Source organism: Homo sapiens, chromosome 4 (assembly GCF_000001405.40).
Source record: "Homo sapiens chromosome 4, GRCh38.p14 Primary Assembly".
Classification (NCBI taxonomy): Eukaryota; Metazoa; Chordata; class Mammalia; order Primates; family Hominidae; genus Homo; species Homo sapiens.
Genome location: NC_000004.12, coordinates 6,984,148 through 6,999,046, shown reverse-complemented (window position 1 = coordinate 6,999,046; position 14,899 = coordinate 6,984,148). Strand labels below are relative to the sequence as shown.

The 14,899-nt window shown below is 48.1% G+C and overlaps 1 protein-coding gene and 1 pseudogene across 18 annotated transcripts in view, besides 7 other annotated features; both read right to left on the bottom strand.

Moving 5' to 3' along the window:
• TBC1D14 (TBC1 domain family member 14) overlaps window positions 1-14,899 on the bottom strand; it is a 123,649-nt gene that overhangs the window by 34,068 nt on the left and 74,682 nt on the right. For 14 of the 18 annotated variants that reach the window (XM_011513508.2, NM_001113361.2, XM_017008477.2 and 11 more), the window contains 2 exons: window positions 4,745-4,863; window positions 2,640-2,722 (listed from right to left, as the gene is read on the bottom strand). In XM_011513508.2, the coding sequence (XP_011511810.1) occupies window positions 2,640-2,722; window positions 4,745-4,863 (202 nt within the window). Of the gene's footprint in view, window positions 1-2,639; window positions 2,723-4,744; window positions 4,864-11,482; window positions 11,540-11,697; window positions 11,839-14,899 lie in introns of those variants that run through there. The other 4 variants (XM_011513513.3, NM_001113363.2, XM_017008479.2 and 1 more) reach the window with 2 other exon arrangements.
• RN7SKP292 (RN7SK pseudogene 292) lies at window positions 1,721-2,035 on the bottom strand (annotated as a pseudogene).
• Window positions 11,421-11,470: an enhancer, noted in NCBI's record as "active region_21269". NCBI's record gives its function as "activates an Ori minimal core promoter by ATAC-STARR-seq in GM12878 lymphoblastoid cells {active_cell/tissue: GM12878}" and the evidence as "EXISTENCE:reporter gene assay evidence [ECO:0000049][PMID:35858748]".
• Window positions 11,571-11,980: a silencer, noted in NCBI's record as "silent region_15242". NCBI's record gives its function as "represses an Ori minimal core promoter by ATAC-STARR-seq in GM12878 lymphoblastoid cells {active_cell/tissue: GM12878}" and the evidence as "EXISTENCE:reporter gene assay evidence [ECO:0000049][PMID:35858748]".
• Window positions 11,571-12,340: a biological region, named in NCBI's record as "H3K27ac-H3K4me1 hESC enhancer GRCh37_chr4:6988439-6989198".
• Window positions 11,576-12,335: an enhancer, noted in NCBI's record as "H3K27ac-H3K4me1 hESC enhancer chr4:6988439-6989198 (GRCh37/hg19 assembly coordinates)". NCBI's record gives its function as "activates a minimal SCP1, AML or CMV promoter by ChIP-STARR-seq in naive H9 embryonic stem cells {active_cell/tissue: H9 hESC(naive)}" and the evidence as "EXISTENCE:reporter gene assay evidence [ECO:0000049][PMID:30033119]".
• Window positions 12,261-12,340: an enhancer, noted in NCBI's record as "active region_21268". NCBI's record gives its function as "activates an Ori minimal core promoter by ATAC-STARR-seq in GM12878 lymphoblastoid cells {active_cell/tissue: GM12878}" and the evidence as "EXISTENCE:reporter gene assay evidence [ECO:0000049][PMID:35858748]".
• Window positions 12,336-13,095: an enhancer, noted in NCBI's record as "H3K27ac-H3K4me1 hESC enhancer chr4:6987679-6988438 (GRCh37/hg19 assembly coordinates)". NCBI's record gives its function as "activates a minimal SCP1, AML or CMV promoter by ChIP-STARR-seq in naive H9 embryonic stem cells {active_cell/tissue: H9 hESC(naive)}" and the evidence as "EXISTENCE:reporter gene assay evidence [ECO:0000049][PMID:30033119]".
• Window positions 12,481-12,530: an enhancer, noted in NCBI's record as "active region_21267". NCBI's record gives its function as "activates an Ori minimal core promoter by ATAC-STARR-seq in GM12878 lymphoblastoid cells {active_cell/tissue: GM12878}" and the evidence as "EXISTENCE:reporter gene assay evidence [ECO:0000049][PMID:35858748]".

Genomic DNA, 14,899 nt, shown 5'->3' with positions numbered 1-14,899 from the left:
TGATATGGACCATTTCCAGGCAAGGTGATTTTCCTGTCACACTGCGAACACACCAGGAAAACCGCCCTGAAGCAGAGCGAGCATCAGCTCCAGCGCTCACTTCACACCTGACGGACTCCAGAAGGCTCAGGCATTATCCACCCTTTAGTAAGCTTGCAAAGTCTAACATCTAGACAGGAAAGTACACAAAGAAGAATACGATTCAGTTGGCCAGGCGCGGTGGCTCACGCCTGTAATCCCAGCACTTTGGGAAGCCAAGGCGGGTGGATCACCTGAGGTCAGGAGTTCGAGACCAGCCCGGCCAAAGTGGTGAAATCCCGTCTCTACTAAAAATACAAAAATTAGCTGGGCATGATGGCAGGGGCCTGTAGTCCCAGCTACTGGGGAGGCTAAGGTAGGAGAATTGCTTGAATCCAGGTGACAGAGGTTGCAGTGAGCCGAGATAGCACCACTGCACTTCAGCCTGGGCAACAGAGCGAGACTACACCTCAAAAAAAAAAGAAAGAAAAAAAGAACACAATTGTTACCACAAAATAGAAAAATCCCTGAAATTACCATCCTGATCAAAACAACCGAACGTTACTGGAACTCTGGAAGTCCCTCCTGTGCTCCCAGCCCTATCCCCTTCCAAATGCAAGCTCCATGCTGACTTCCAACAGTTCGAGCACTGCTTTTTTTTTTTTTTTTTAGACGGAGTTTTGCTCTGTCACCCAGGGTGGGGTGCAGTGATGCAATCTTGGCTCACTGAAACCTCCGCCTCCCGGGTTCAAGCAATTCTCCTGCCTTAGCCTCCTGAGAAGCTGGGATTACAGGTGCCCACCACCAGGCCCAGCTAATTTTTGTATTTTTAGTAGAGACAGGGTTTTACCATGTTGGCCAGGCTGGTCTCAAACTCCTGACCACCCGCCTTGGCTTCTCAAAGTGCTGGGATTACAGGTGTGAGCCACCATGCCCAGCCTTGAGCATTACTCTTAATCTACAAATAGCAGCTCTGAGAAATACCATGCATTTAGTTTACATATACTTTTTTGTGTGTGTGGTCAAATTTACCATTTTAAGTATACAGTTCAGTGGCATTAAGAACATTCATACTGTACAACCACACCACCATCCATCACCAGAGCTTTCTCATTTTCCCAAATCAAACTGCCCCCATTAAATACTAACTTCCTACTCCCCGTCTCCCCAACCCCTAGCACCCATCATTCTACTTTTTGTCTCTGAGTTTGACTGCTCTTAGGGACCTCATAGAAGTGGACCATACATTATTTGTCCTGTTTTGATTGATTGGTTTCACTTAGGGTATCTTCAAGATTCCTTCATGTGGCCACATGTGCCAGAATTTCCTTCCTTTTTAAGGCCAAATAATATTCCACTGTACATATACACCACATTGTTATATATTTTTATTATTTTTTTTTGAGATGGAGTCTCGCTCTGTCACCCAGGCTGGAGTGCAGTGGCACGATCTCGGCTCACTGCAACCTCCACCTCCTGGGTTCAAGCGATTCTCCTGCCTCAGCCTCCCAAGTAGCTGGGACTACAGGCATGTGCCACCACACCTGGCTAATTTTTTATTTTTAGTAGAGACACGGTTTCTCCATGTTGGTCAGGCTGGTCTCGAACTCCCCAACTCAGGTGATCCACGCGCCTCGGCCTCCCAAAGTGCTGCGATTACAGGCGTGAGCCACCATGCCTGGCCTTTTTTATTTTTATTTTTAGAAAGGCAGACTGCCACATGCAGTGCCTCATTTGGATGTGTCTGGAGTCTTGGAAGGTTGACGACTCTACATTCTCCTACGAATGGAGCCTGTCTGGAGGCTCTAGCAGGGGAGTGCAGCTACTCACATACCCTGACTGAAGACCGGTCCTCTATCAGGGATGGTCATTCTCTTTGACCAAACACACAGCTTCGGGAGGGACGCACATGGAGTGCTAGTGGGGAAGGGGACACCGGGCTAGCCAGCAGATGAGCCGAATCAACCCTGGTGATCAATGGAGTGACAGATATGACAGCCAAATCGCCCTCACATCCATGTTATATATTTTTAAAATCTCCTAGAAAAAGAGTTTAAGTGTTGCAAGGAATTTTATCAAAATATCTTCTTGGAACTTTAAAAAACAACCCAGAGAGGGAAAGAAATATACGTGTCGTTGATGGCTGAAACTTTCTGTAGTCTAGTATTTCTATCTTACACAGTCACTTTTCTCACGTCAGTTCAAAGTGCTTTTCTCTTGAATAAAGCTACCCGGAATGGATAGTAGCCTTCTGCGAGAGACACAGGCACCCAGCTCCAAAGCCTGGGGCTTTACAGCCCGCCCGGGACAGCCCTGGGGGCTTCTGGGATGGAAGAGGCCTCCTTGGGAGGCTCCCAGCAAACCCTGCGGTCTCACCGCTTCTCCCCTCTGCCTGCCTCAACATCCCCCCGAGTCCCTGCAGTCCGCCCACGCCACCCTGCAGCCCTGTTTTCGCTTGTGGGGGCTTTCCGCATGCATCTTTTTTTTTTTTTTACTGGAAGACTACAAATTTCAAAGACTGAAGTTCAGGTTCTATGACTCCAAATGGTAAAAAGAAAATAACCAGAAAGACACAAACCCTGTGCTGCCTGATTTAACCCATCAAGTGTGAACCCCATTACCTCGCTTTTTGGCCTGAACCACCATTTCTTCATACTGCTGTCTGTGCTTCTGAGCTTCTTCAGCTGGTTTTGCTGGGAGATTTCTTGACAGGAAAGAAATGAGTTTTCACCATTATAAATACCGCATAGAAGTCTTTCAGAAAAAACCTGAAGCATAATTTCCTAAAAAATATAAAGCTCAAACACTAAAAACTCATTTTTTTAAGATTACACAGTTCTTTCACAAACTTTTATAATGCTTTCTTACAAAAACAAAAACAAGTTCACTATAAAACAAATGAATGTGGCTCACGCCTGCAATCCCAGCACTTTGGGAGGCCGAGGCAGGCGGATCACGAGGTCAGGAGGTCGAGACCATCCTGGCTAACATGGTGAAACCCGTCTCTACTAAAAAATACAAAAAATTAGCCGGGCATGGTGGCGGGCGCCTGTAGTCCCAGCTAATCAGGAGGCTGAGGCAGGAGAATGGTGTGAACCCAGGAGGCGGAGCTTGCAGTGAGCTGAGATCGCGCCACTGCACTCCAGCCTGGGCGACAGAGCAAGACTCCATCTCAAAAAATAAATAAATTAATTAATTAAATAAAAACAAATGAATGGGCTGGGAGCAGTGGCTCACGCCTGCAATCCCAGCACTTTGGGAGGCCGAGGCAGGTGGATCACGAGGTCAGGAAATAAAGACCATCCTGACTAACACATTGAAACCCTGTCTCTACTAAAAAATACAAAAAGTAGCCGGGCATGGTGGCACGTGCCTGTAGTCCCAGCTACTCAGGAGGCTGAGGGAGGAGAATCGCTTGAACCTGGAAGGCAGAGGTTGCAGTGAGCCAAGATCGCGCCACTGTGCTCCAGCCTGGGCAACAGAGCAAGACTCCATCTCAAAAAAAAAAAAAGAAAGGAAAAATGAATGATAAAGATTAGCAGGAAGAAAATAACAATTATCCATAACTGCAACAGTGATAAACACTTAATCTTTTGGTATATTTTCACCCCACACTCCAAAGAAACTTTGATTTGACTGCAATACACTAATAACTGTCAACACCTAATTCTTGAGGCAGGGCACCCTAACAGCATTTGTTACATGTATGTATGAAGACATTTCCTGACCAGATTTTTAAAGTGAACAGATTTCATACTAGCTACGTGGTTCATTTGTTTTTTGACATATACACAGATGTGCACCTTAGTTCTAAGCATCTTGGTATACCTTCAAAACCCATTTAAAAAAATACAATTCGTGCTCTCTTTCAGAAGCGTGCTTGTAACTGTACTGGCACTAGGGTAAAAGGAGAGCAGGAGTGTCTGGCTGCCTGTGTCCCTCACACAACAGGACCCACATTCACTGGGACATTTTAAACAACCATCACTTGCAGGAGAGTCCGCCAGTTCACCTTTCAGAGCATGAAAACGACTGGACTTCAAAGGCCAGAGTCTTTTCCTGATGGCCTCTAACTTTCCAGTCCTCCATTTCTCTCCCCAGCATACAACTTTCAAGGACAAGAAAATAGTAGAAGACACACTGCTTCTTTTTTTTTTTTTTTTTGAGACGGAGTTTTGCTCTTGTTGCCCAGGCTGGAGTGTAATTAATGGTGTGATCTTGGCTCACTGCAAGCTCTGCCTCCCAGGTTCAAGTGATTCTCCTGCCTCAGCCTCCTGAGTAGCTAGGATTACGGCACCCATCACCACACCTATTTTTTTGTATTTTTAGTATTTTGTATTTTTAGTAGAGACAGGGTTTCACCATGTTGGCCAGGCTGGTCTCCAACTCTGGACCTCAAGTGATCCACCGCCTCGGCCTCCCAAAGTGCAGGGATTACAGGCGTGAGCCACTGCACCCAGCTGACAACTTATTTTTAAATGCTAAAGTAAAAAGAAAAATTACCTGAACGGAAAATCCTGGTCAAAACTTCTATGCTATAGGACAGTTTTCCAAATTGGTCATTTAATATAATTACAGAACACATGTTAATATAGAGAATAAGAAGTGATTCTGGCTTACTCTTCTCCCCTTTTCTGACCCTAGTTTTTCTCTAATGAAAAGCTGCTTAGCAAGTTGTACTTATTTCCTAAAGCAAACACTCTAAAGAGAGTCTTCTTAAACTCACGCTGGTCTGTCCTCGAGGATGAGTGCGGTGGTGGAAAGTGGTTCAAAGTCAAGATTCTTCCTCACATTCTGCTTTGGAGAGGGTGGCTTGCTAGGTCTTCCAGCCTTGTCTTCATATTCCTAGGACAAAGAAACCAGGGATGACTCCAGGTCCTTTCAGATAGGATGAAGTCCTTCGGAAAGTAAGAAAGTTGTTTTGTCATGAAACTCTTTTAAGCCAATTTCGAGGACAATTCGCCAAAAACCTTTCCTGCTATTCAGAATGAAAAGCCGCTGACTAAAGGGGTCTTTCTGGAGATGGAGTCTCGCTCTGTCGCCCAGGCTGGAGTGCAATGACATGATCTTGGCTCACTGCAACCTCCACCTCCTCGGTTCAAGCGATTCTCCTGCCTAAGCCTCTCAAGTAGCTGGAAATAGAGGCACTCACCACCACGGCTGGCTAATTTTTTTATTTTTAGTAGAGATGGGGTTTCACCATGTTGGCCAGGCTGGTCTTGAACTCCTGACCTCAGGTGATCCACCCGCTTCAGCCTCCCAAAGTGCTGACATTACAGGCGTGAGCCACTGTGCCCAGCCTAAAGGGGTCTTAGAGTTCCAAAGCTGAGACCATTGCTTTATGATATGACTGCACGCTTCCCTCGTTGGTGGGGAAATAACAAAGGATCTCATTATCAAAGCAGCCCCTTTGAGGAGGGCCCTCAAACGCTGCCTCAGGTCTACTGTCTCCTGGGTAACAGGCATGTTTTCTCTCTTCTGGACACTGTAAATTTTAACTGATTATTATCACGGCCACTGGGAAGCTGCCACTGCAAATTGTTATGTAAATAGTTTTGCCATGCCCTGGAAATCTAAGAGCAGCCTCCACATCACTGGGTCACCGATTCACCCGTGCACTGCAACCACAAGAGCTCATTCACACCCGGTGACCCACATTCCAAACGCCCAGCTGGAAGAACTCAGGAGAGCCAAACAGGTTGGTGCTTCTGAAATAATGTGTAGGTACTTCGCTCTGTGCAAAATCAAAAAACACAATCATTTAAGATGATTATAGATAATTAAGGAAATATTACAGACAAGGCTCTCAGGAATGCCCCTGAAGGGAAGATAATCTCATTGAGAAGATAGGACAAAGAAGGTAGTGTTAACCTAAGATTTCATGTTTGTCATGAGGTGGTGAGAAATTGCTAAATGAATTTCAGGGAAACTAGCTGTCAAGAGGCGTGTTACTGGTGAAATTATGCGGCAAGCAATTATTCTCTTAGCCAGAAAGGCCTCTAAAAAGTATAAAGAAATAGATTATTTCCTCAAAATACACAGGCTATGAGAAGGACGTGCACCAAGAAGCAGTTGGGTGGGGCAGTTTCTGTACACCTGGATGTATATGGTCACATGTCTTAACACTGTTTACTGTGGCTTAACATGGTTTCATTACAATTCTAAAATTACTTCCACTTACCAAAAACTGAAAACACGGACTCATTCCTTGCTGGATTCAAGCATCTGAACATCTACACTGTATGGGGTACACAGCCGTGACCTAAGACGGCACTAGCCCTCATGAAGCTTCAAGTCTAGCACCTGAATGTCAAAGTCTCCAATTTCATAGGAAATCAAACAAAAGCTGTGTGTTGAGAAAGATTCTGAGGCATGCTGCATTTTAACAAGAATTAGTAACACATACCCCATGAGGTGCTACTTATCTGCTGAGCCTGGTCTGGTGAACTGTATGCCAAGGCCAGAATGCTGGGCCCAAAATCAGCCATGGCAGGATGTGGATGCCCATTTCCATCGGCTTTTGTGTGCTCTGTGCATGTGGACTCACTTTGTCTTCACAGCAATCTGCTTGGCAAGTGTTACCCATTTTAAAGACAGGGTAACTGAGGCTCAAAGTGAAGTGACTTGCCTGAAGCATACAGCCAGCAAGGCTGGGCCTGCCGCCCTGAGCCGGCCCAATATCATCTGTGAATACACTCAAACCCACAGGTGTGCAGTTTTAGAGGGGAAAGCCCGAGTCCTACACGGCTTAGGTGTGGCCTCTGCAGCCAGATAGCTCTGGGAGCAAATTCAGATCCACCAACCACCAGCTGTGACCTCGGGCAAGGTACTCACTTCAAATCCCTAAGCCTTCTTTCCACATCTGCAAAATGGGAAACCCCGCCTGCCTCACCCTGAGTGGGCTGCTGGAAGGAATGAGGTGATGTCACAGCCTCTGGTGCACAGGGAGTGCTGGAGAAGGGCAGCCCTTGTTGGTCTGCGCCACTAGCTTTCTCTCCCCTCAGACCTGAAACCACGGGAAAGGCAGAAAACCATGCTCTAGTGCCAAACAACAATCTAGGAGCCCTGCCAAGTTGCCAACAGCACAGATACAAAAAGTAGGAGTAAAAGGAAGTAAAAGCCTTGAGTCATGACCAGAAACATCAGATCGCTTCAGTCAGAGCTTCTTACTATTACCAACAGCAACAAACAGTGGCGGCGGCTGACGCTAACAAGCCCAGCACCTCTGAGTGCTTTACGCGTGCACACTGGGTTAACTCCATCTCCTCCACACCAGCCCCCCGAAGGGGCTGCTCCACCCTAGACCATGCTGGGTTAACTCCATTTCCTCCACACCAGCCCCCCGAAGGGGCTGCCCCATCCCAGACCACGCCAACAAGACAGCTGCACAAGGACACGCTGTACCTCACCAGCGCAAAGCTGTGGCTGTGGTCAGATGGCCCAACGAAGGTTCAAGAAAAAAAAGCAGGGATGCAGGCTACCTGAGGCAGGCATGGTTTCCTGCCTCTTCCAGTGGTTTCAGGTCTGAGGGGGAGAAAAAGCAAGTGCCACAGACCAACAAGGGCTGCTGTTTCTCCAGCACTCCCTGTGCACCAAACACACACGGGGACCCAGAGGTGTCCGTGACTTACCCGGCGGGCAAGTGGGGAAGCTGGGTCACAGGCCACGCGCTGGGGTTCCGCAGCCACACTCCTCATCACAGAATTCATGCAAGCCTCTGGCAGACATGCATCAGAAGTAATCCATCATTCAGATTCAGTCTCAGTAGTTTTCACAACCGTGACCGAAACCTCAAATACTGAACTAAGTGCACAGATCAGCAGAGACGCAGGGTCAAATGCTTGTTTTAATCACAGACCAAGGCATGATTAAAATAATAAAGTAACACAGGTGGCCTAGCCTGCTCATACTTGAAATCCCAGGCAAAGCCCTTTCCAAAACCTTAGGCACCCTTTCAGAAGAGAAATGGTGTTGGAAATGGTGACAGGTCCTGCTCTAGACCCGGTTCTCCCAGGGCAACCTGGAGGTGACAACAGTAAGCTCACTGTCCAGGCCAGACAAACCAACTTTAGAAAGAAGAAAGAGGACTGTTCACTCCCAGGATCCCGGAGGGAAGAAACAGCACTGGAGAAAGAACACTCAGTTGTGGATTATCAGCGCTAAGGTCGGGCTAGCAAGGGATAAGGCTCTGGAAGTAAAACCAGAGTTCTAGGTCCTGGCTTGGGTGAGTCGTCTTGTCTCTCAGTCTGTTCTCAGCTATAAAACAGTAGCAACTGTACAGACCACTGTGGCGGTCAAGAGATAAGATATGTAAAATGGCTGGGCACTCACTCCCTCAAGTGCCAAGCCCTTTCTGTGTGCCAGGCAAGTACTGGTGCGGTCCACTTCAGTCCAACTCATCATTCCCAAGTTCCATCTCTGCATGGGACCAAATTTTGAAGTCTCTTGGTTTAAACCAAGCATCGATGCCCGTCTTGCTGTGCTCGTCAAAATCCCTGCAGACTAACAGGTAAAATAAACTGCCCACTTAAGTGACAGCTGCCACCCTGGACAACCCTAAAGGGAATTTATTTATTTATTTTTGAGGAGTCTCGTTCTGTCACCCAGGCTGAAGTGCAGTGGTGCAACCTTGGCTCACTGCAACCTCTGCCTCCCGGGTTCAAGCGATTCTCCTGCCTCAGCCTCCCAAGTAGCTGGGATTACAAGCGCGTGCCACCAGGCCCAGCTAATTTTTGTATTTTTAGTAGAGACAGGGTTTTGCCATGTTGGCCAGGCTGGTCTGGAACTCCTGATCTCAAGTGATCCACCCACCTCAGCCTCCAAAGTGCTGGGATTACAGGCGTGAGCCACTGCACCCAGCCCCCAGAAGGAATTTAGAACAAGGTTCTTCAAAGTTCTAGCAGCAGATCAGTTTGATTGGTCACAACAGCATTTTTAAAAAAAACAAAACAATAAAACACAGTACATAAATACAATTTGCTTCAGCTTTACACTTAGTTATGTCAGTACAATGAGTCTCAATTTAAAGTGTCTAACTGGGGATAATTTCAAAAAAGTTTGCAGGCTGTCAGTTTAGAAGCACAGTTGTTCGAAGTCCCTGCTCTGGGCAGCTTATAAGGAATCACGCTGGGAAAGACGAGACCATACCAACATGGCAGCAGCACCTCACTAGCAGCCAACTTGTGGGGTGTGGTCTGATGACCCAGCTAAGGTTGAAGAAAAAAGGCAGGGAGGCAGGGTGCCTGAGCAGAGCCCCAGTCTCATGCAGAGGGCTCTGCATGAGACTCAGCATGCAGGGCAAGAGGGAAGGGGCCATGTGGAAAAGAGGAAACTAATTTGTGAAGGGACCACGCGGGCCTGGCAGTTTAGGAGATCCTCAATCTCCAACCCAGCAGGGCTCACTCGACAGGGGCAATACGATGCAGGCAGAGGCTCCCACACAGGTGAGACCGTGAGATGTGCCAGGAGGGGCGAGCCACACACTGTGGGAGGAAGGGCAGGATGCCTGAGGCCAGGGGGACATGGGAAGCTTTCACAAAGGGGCCAGCTGAGTGGACAGACAGGTAAGACGTGGGCTAGAGGCCAAGAGGAAGAGGCACTCTGACAGCAGAAGCAGTGGCCAAGAGACACCCACAAGCAGGCTAGCACCAGGATTTGAACCGGGAATGGTGCAGAGTCAAAGTTGTTTTGCTCTAGATTTGAAGGTCTCAACACGTTACCCAGAGGTGCTGGGACAAGCCCCAGGAGAGAGAGGAGAGCCAGAGGAGAGACTATGAGGTATGGGGAGCCCCTCAGACGCATCCAGGGGCAGGGTCTACATTCCACGTGTGATCTGCACAGTGCTAAAGACAAGAAGGGCACGAGGCTCCTGAATTAGGTTTAACGTTTGTTGGTTTAAAAAGCGGGGGAAAAGCCTGCTTCAATGCACATTTGTTTTAAGAGCGAAAAGAAAGGATCATGATTCTCAAACAATGAAGAAGTATTCCTAAGCCTGGCACAGAGGTGCTGTGCCTGTGGTCCCAACTACTCAAGAGGCTGAGACAAGGATCACTTGAGCCCAGGAGTTCAAGGTTGCAGTAAGCCATAACCGCACCAGGGCAACAGGACAAGACCCTGTCTCAAAAAAAAAAAAAAAAAAAAAAAGAAAGAAAGAAAGAAAGAAAAAAGAAAGTACTCCTGGTAGAAAGACAAGAAAGGTCATCAATGCTACTTATGAACTGGAGGAACACTACAAAACAGCCAATGATGTCAATAACCTGCTACTGGAAGCCCCCTGACTTCCAGGAAGGAGCCTCTGGCTCCCTGGAAATCTATTTTACCTAGAAGAGGAAAGGGTCATCAGTCAAATCCTGTGCTTAAATCTCCGACCCCGCTGTCTGCAGTATCAAGATTCACCAGTGAAAATAACCTGAGGATTTGGGAGCGCGCCTGGAATAAAGCTGCCAAGGCAGGCTGGCCATCCGAGTGGTACCTATCAAAAGACTGACTTGAACTAATGCTGTGACAGCACGGCCACCACATCTGCACAGGCTGAGGACCCAGGGAAGCGCTGGGGGACAGCGGCAGGCCTGGTCTGAGCCAGCACCACCAGCAGAATGACCTTGAGCTCCTCCTCCATCCACAAGCCTGTTTCCTCATCTGTTACACTTGAAGATTAAATGAGAACCAGCATAAGCTGCAGAGCCAAAGCAGGTGCCCAGAAATGATAGGAGTATGACTGTCACTATATACTATGAAATTACTCTTCACAACATTCCACTCTAAGAGGGTTGCTTGTGGAAAAGGGCACGAAACTGAAAGTGTCCGCAACACCGCGGCTGGTCTCACACTTGGCCATTTGTAAAAGCAATTGTCTTGGAGGGGGGAGCCCAGTTTAGCATCTGGGAGGGGCTGTTTTGCCATTTTGAGGGGGAAGAATGGCCTGCACAGGTCTTAGAAAGGTCCCACCTTCCAAAAGGCAGCCCCGGCTAACCCCTGAAGCCTGACCTCACAGTAAGTAAAGCCACTGAGAACATCTGAGTGGTTCCTCTGGCCTGGGTTCTTTAACAAGCTGCAGTCCCCTCCTGGAAAGCGTTCTCTAAGTTACTGGGAATGTTGGCATTCTGGGAAGCACTCTCAGGAGTCCTTTTCTAATAGTCATATTCCTCCCAGAGCATCAAAAGTTAATATGCGGGCTGGTGAATGAAACATATTCAAAGGAACTAGGTTTTAACACGCCCGGTTGCTGTTGCAACCTGACCACCTCATTGGGCTCTAGAGCTCGGAGCGCAGTCTCATCTCCATACAAAGGCTCATCGGATCGCAGGCGAGGCCCTTCTGACCTCTAAGGGGGCTGCTGGGCCTGGCCCGGCTCTGAAAACAGGGTAAGGAGGACTCAAAGGACGTGCTCGCTCACGCTGTCTCTCGTCGTCCTAGTAAACGTGAACCAGAAGAAAATACGTGGAAACACAGACACAAAGAGTACCAGGGAGGAGAGCGCATCAGCAGCATGCACAGCAAGCTTCGGCTGTTGAGGACAGATACACGTGATGCTCGCACACCCGCACAACCGCACACATGCACACTCGCACCCTCCACCTGCGCGGGGCCGCAGGGCTGGCAGGCCCAGGACAGGACAGGCCCACGGGACCGGGCAGGCCTGGGGCGCAGGGAGAGGCACCGGCCCGCACCCCGACTCACCATGAACGCCGGGGCCTTAGAGGCGCGCGGCCGGAGGCTCCATGCCCAGCGAGCGGAGGGCCGGCCTCCCTCCCTCCCTCCCGGACCGCGGGCGGGCGGGCGGACGCGGCGGCTCCTCAGACTCGCGGGGCGGGGCGGGGCGGCAGGCCGCTCAATCGCGCGCAGACACAGCGAGGCGATCCGCGCTGCCGGCTCGGCGCGTCAGGCCTGGCTGGAGACTCCCAAGGGGGCGGGGCTGATGAGCGGCGAGGGGCGGGCACAAGGGGCGGGGCTGGGGCGTCCCCGTGGTACGGCCCCACCGGCCGTAAACACCGGGGACGCGCGCCGACAGGCGGAGAGCCAGCTTCTGCCTTAAAGATCACCCGAGAGCTGAGAAACGTGTTGCCAAAAGAAATTGCACAAAAATAGTCGCACTAGTGAGCTCTGGGTGGCGGGGTGATTGTGAGCAGTTTTTACGGGCTACCGTGGCTCCTGTTTTTCACAAAGTATTAACAGGTGGGTTTAAAACGTCAGGGAGCACACAAAACACTCAGAGAAGCCGAACAGGCGCCCCGGGGCTGCCGGGAGGGAGACGGAAGCTGGCGGGACAGCGCCCTTCAGATGGCGCGGTACGCTGTCGATGAGACCTCAGGTTTTTAAAAACAGTCTTTAAACTTCGACCCTACACCATAAGGACTACGTCGGGTCAAAATTACTTCTGGTCAGCCGCGGGCCCCAGGTCCCAGGGCTGAGCAAGTCCGGTCTGCGACAACACGAGGCTCTCCCGTGACGGGGCCTAGCCCAAGGCTCCCCCCGCAGATCTCCTGGGATTCAGAACTACCAAATCGCCGGCAGACAGGTCTCCATCAGAGGAAGCCTGTGACGGCCGCCAGGATAAAATAAAAAGGACAATGGCAAGTGATAGCAAAGACTTAGAGAAGCTGGAATTCTCCTAAATCCTTGGTAGGAGTGTAAAATGGTGCAGCTTCTTCTATAATTCAGCATCCCCTACCATACTCCCTGGAACCCACCCAAGAGAAATACGACCAGAGAGACTTGCATGCAAACATTCCTAACAGCATTGTCCACGCCAACCAGAACGTCCACCAACCGCGGATGCATGAGCAGCAGGGAAATGGCCATGAAAAGAAACTGCTGAGACATGGGCCTACATGGATGAACCTCAAAAACGCTAGGCCAGGTGAAAGATGCCAGACAAGAAAATTCCATTATTCCATTTATGTGACACTTCTTAAAAAGGTAAATCTCTAGAGAGGAAGCAAATTCATGTTTGCCTGGGGGTGAGAGTGGGATCAACTGCAAACAGGCACGAAGGAACTTTTTTGGGTGATGAAAAATAAAACTTTGGATGTCGAACATATTTTGAAACTAGATTGCAATGATAGTTGCATAACTGTATACATTTATTAAAATCGTGGAACACTTACAATGAGTGGATCTCATGGTATATTATTTATACCTCAAGCCATTTTTAAAAATAGGATAAAAGGGAAAGAGGCTGATTCTGGCTGAAAGGATTAGCGAACGCCTTGTTAAGACAATTATCCAAAATTTGAAAATAAGGCAAAAGCAGGAGTAGGGGTTATTCTTTCAATTAATTCCTGGGCACTTTTAGCATGGCTGCCTAAAGATTAATTATCTAGGACACTGTCCCTGTGCTATTTGTTACTCCATTCAAGCCCCGATACTGTAAAGTTACATATTAACTTGTAGATAATGTCCAAAAGAAAAGATAACCCCAAAGATTATGTTTTATTGTCACCAGTTTGTTTGTTCATTGAAATCTAACCTAGCCATCTTACTCTAGTTCTTTTTGGGTTTTACGCATATATGTGTGTACAAACACACACACACCCCTAATTCCTCAAATGCTCTTGGCATAAGTTTTATCTCTTACTGGTCTCCTCAAGGCGTAAAATAAATCTTTGACCTTGATCATTTTAATTTTAAAAAAGGTAAAAGTCGTGAGAAAAAGGAGTGTTTTATATGAAAAGAATAAAGGGACATATAATTAAGGCAATACACAAACCTGACTGGATCCTGGTTCAAAAAGAACAGCTTGATACAACTGAGGAAATTAGAACATGCTCTGGGTATCAGATGCTACTATGGAATTCCCCATCATTCTCCTGGGTGTGGTAACAGTCATGGTTATGTAGGAGAATGTCTTTACTCTTAAGAGCTGTGTGCTGAAGTATTTAGCAGTAAGATGTCATAATACTGCAAATGGTTCAATTTTTTAAAAAATAGAGGCACAATAAAGTAAATATGGCAAAATGTCAACAGCCGCTCCATCTAAGTGGGGCACATTAACACATTAAATTGCCCAGGCGAGGGCAAAAGCATTCAAAAGCTCCCAGGGGCTTTTCTCTCGGTCTTTCTGGGAAGCGGCATCAATTGAGCTGCACCATCTCTTCGGCGTTCACAATCGTACACAACGGGCCACCCGCCTGCAGACACCACTGCCGAGTCCAAGGTCAGCCAGAAACCAGACTTAGAACACAGACAGTCCCCTCCTTACAATCACAGGCTACTACAGCTTCAAGTTATGTGTTTAACAAGATTCCTAAGCATACCAGAGAGAAGGTGCTCAAAGAACTCAGTCTGCAATTACATCATGTCTATGCAATTGTGTGGACGAAATTTACACATACATAATTTGTCTCAGAGAAAGGCCTGGGAGGGCAGACATGAAACCATCAGAGACTCCTGTAACGGGGGCTGTGAAGTCTCAGGAGGGAAAGGATTTTCCTGTCTTGCATCTATCATTTGAGTATTTGATAAGTATTTTTTCATAAATTGTATTTAAAATGTGAAAAATAATTTTTAAGCTAATTCAGATGGCATCAAAAATCGATTTCACCAACTATTTCCAAACCACACCGAATTATTACTGCAGCAAGGTTGTTTTTTGGGTCTGTTGCTGGCTTTTTTCTATGCACACAAGACTGAAGGTCTAGCTGTGACAGGAGACCACAATGAGGAGTCCTGACCGTGCCGAAGCTCCCATGGGATGCCAGGATGCCAGCCACTGCTCCACGACCCCATGCTGCATTGTACTTCACCCTCACGAGCATAGGCAATGTGAGCACTACCTCTGCAGAGGATACTGAGGCTCAGAGAGACAAAGACATGGGCTTAAGTCCACACGACTGACTGTAAATGACAGAACCAAGGTACACATTCCAGCTTTCTAATCCCA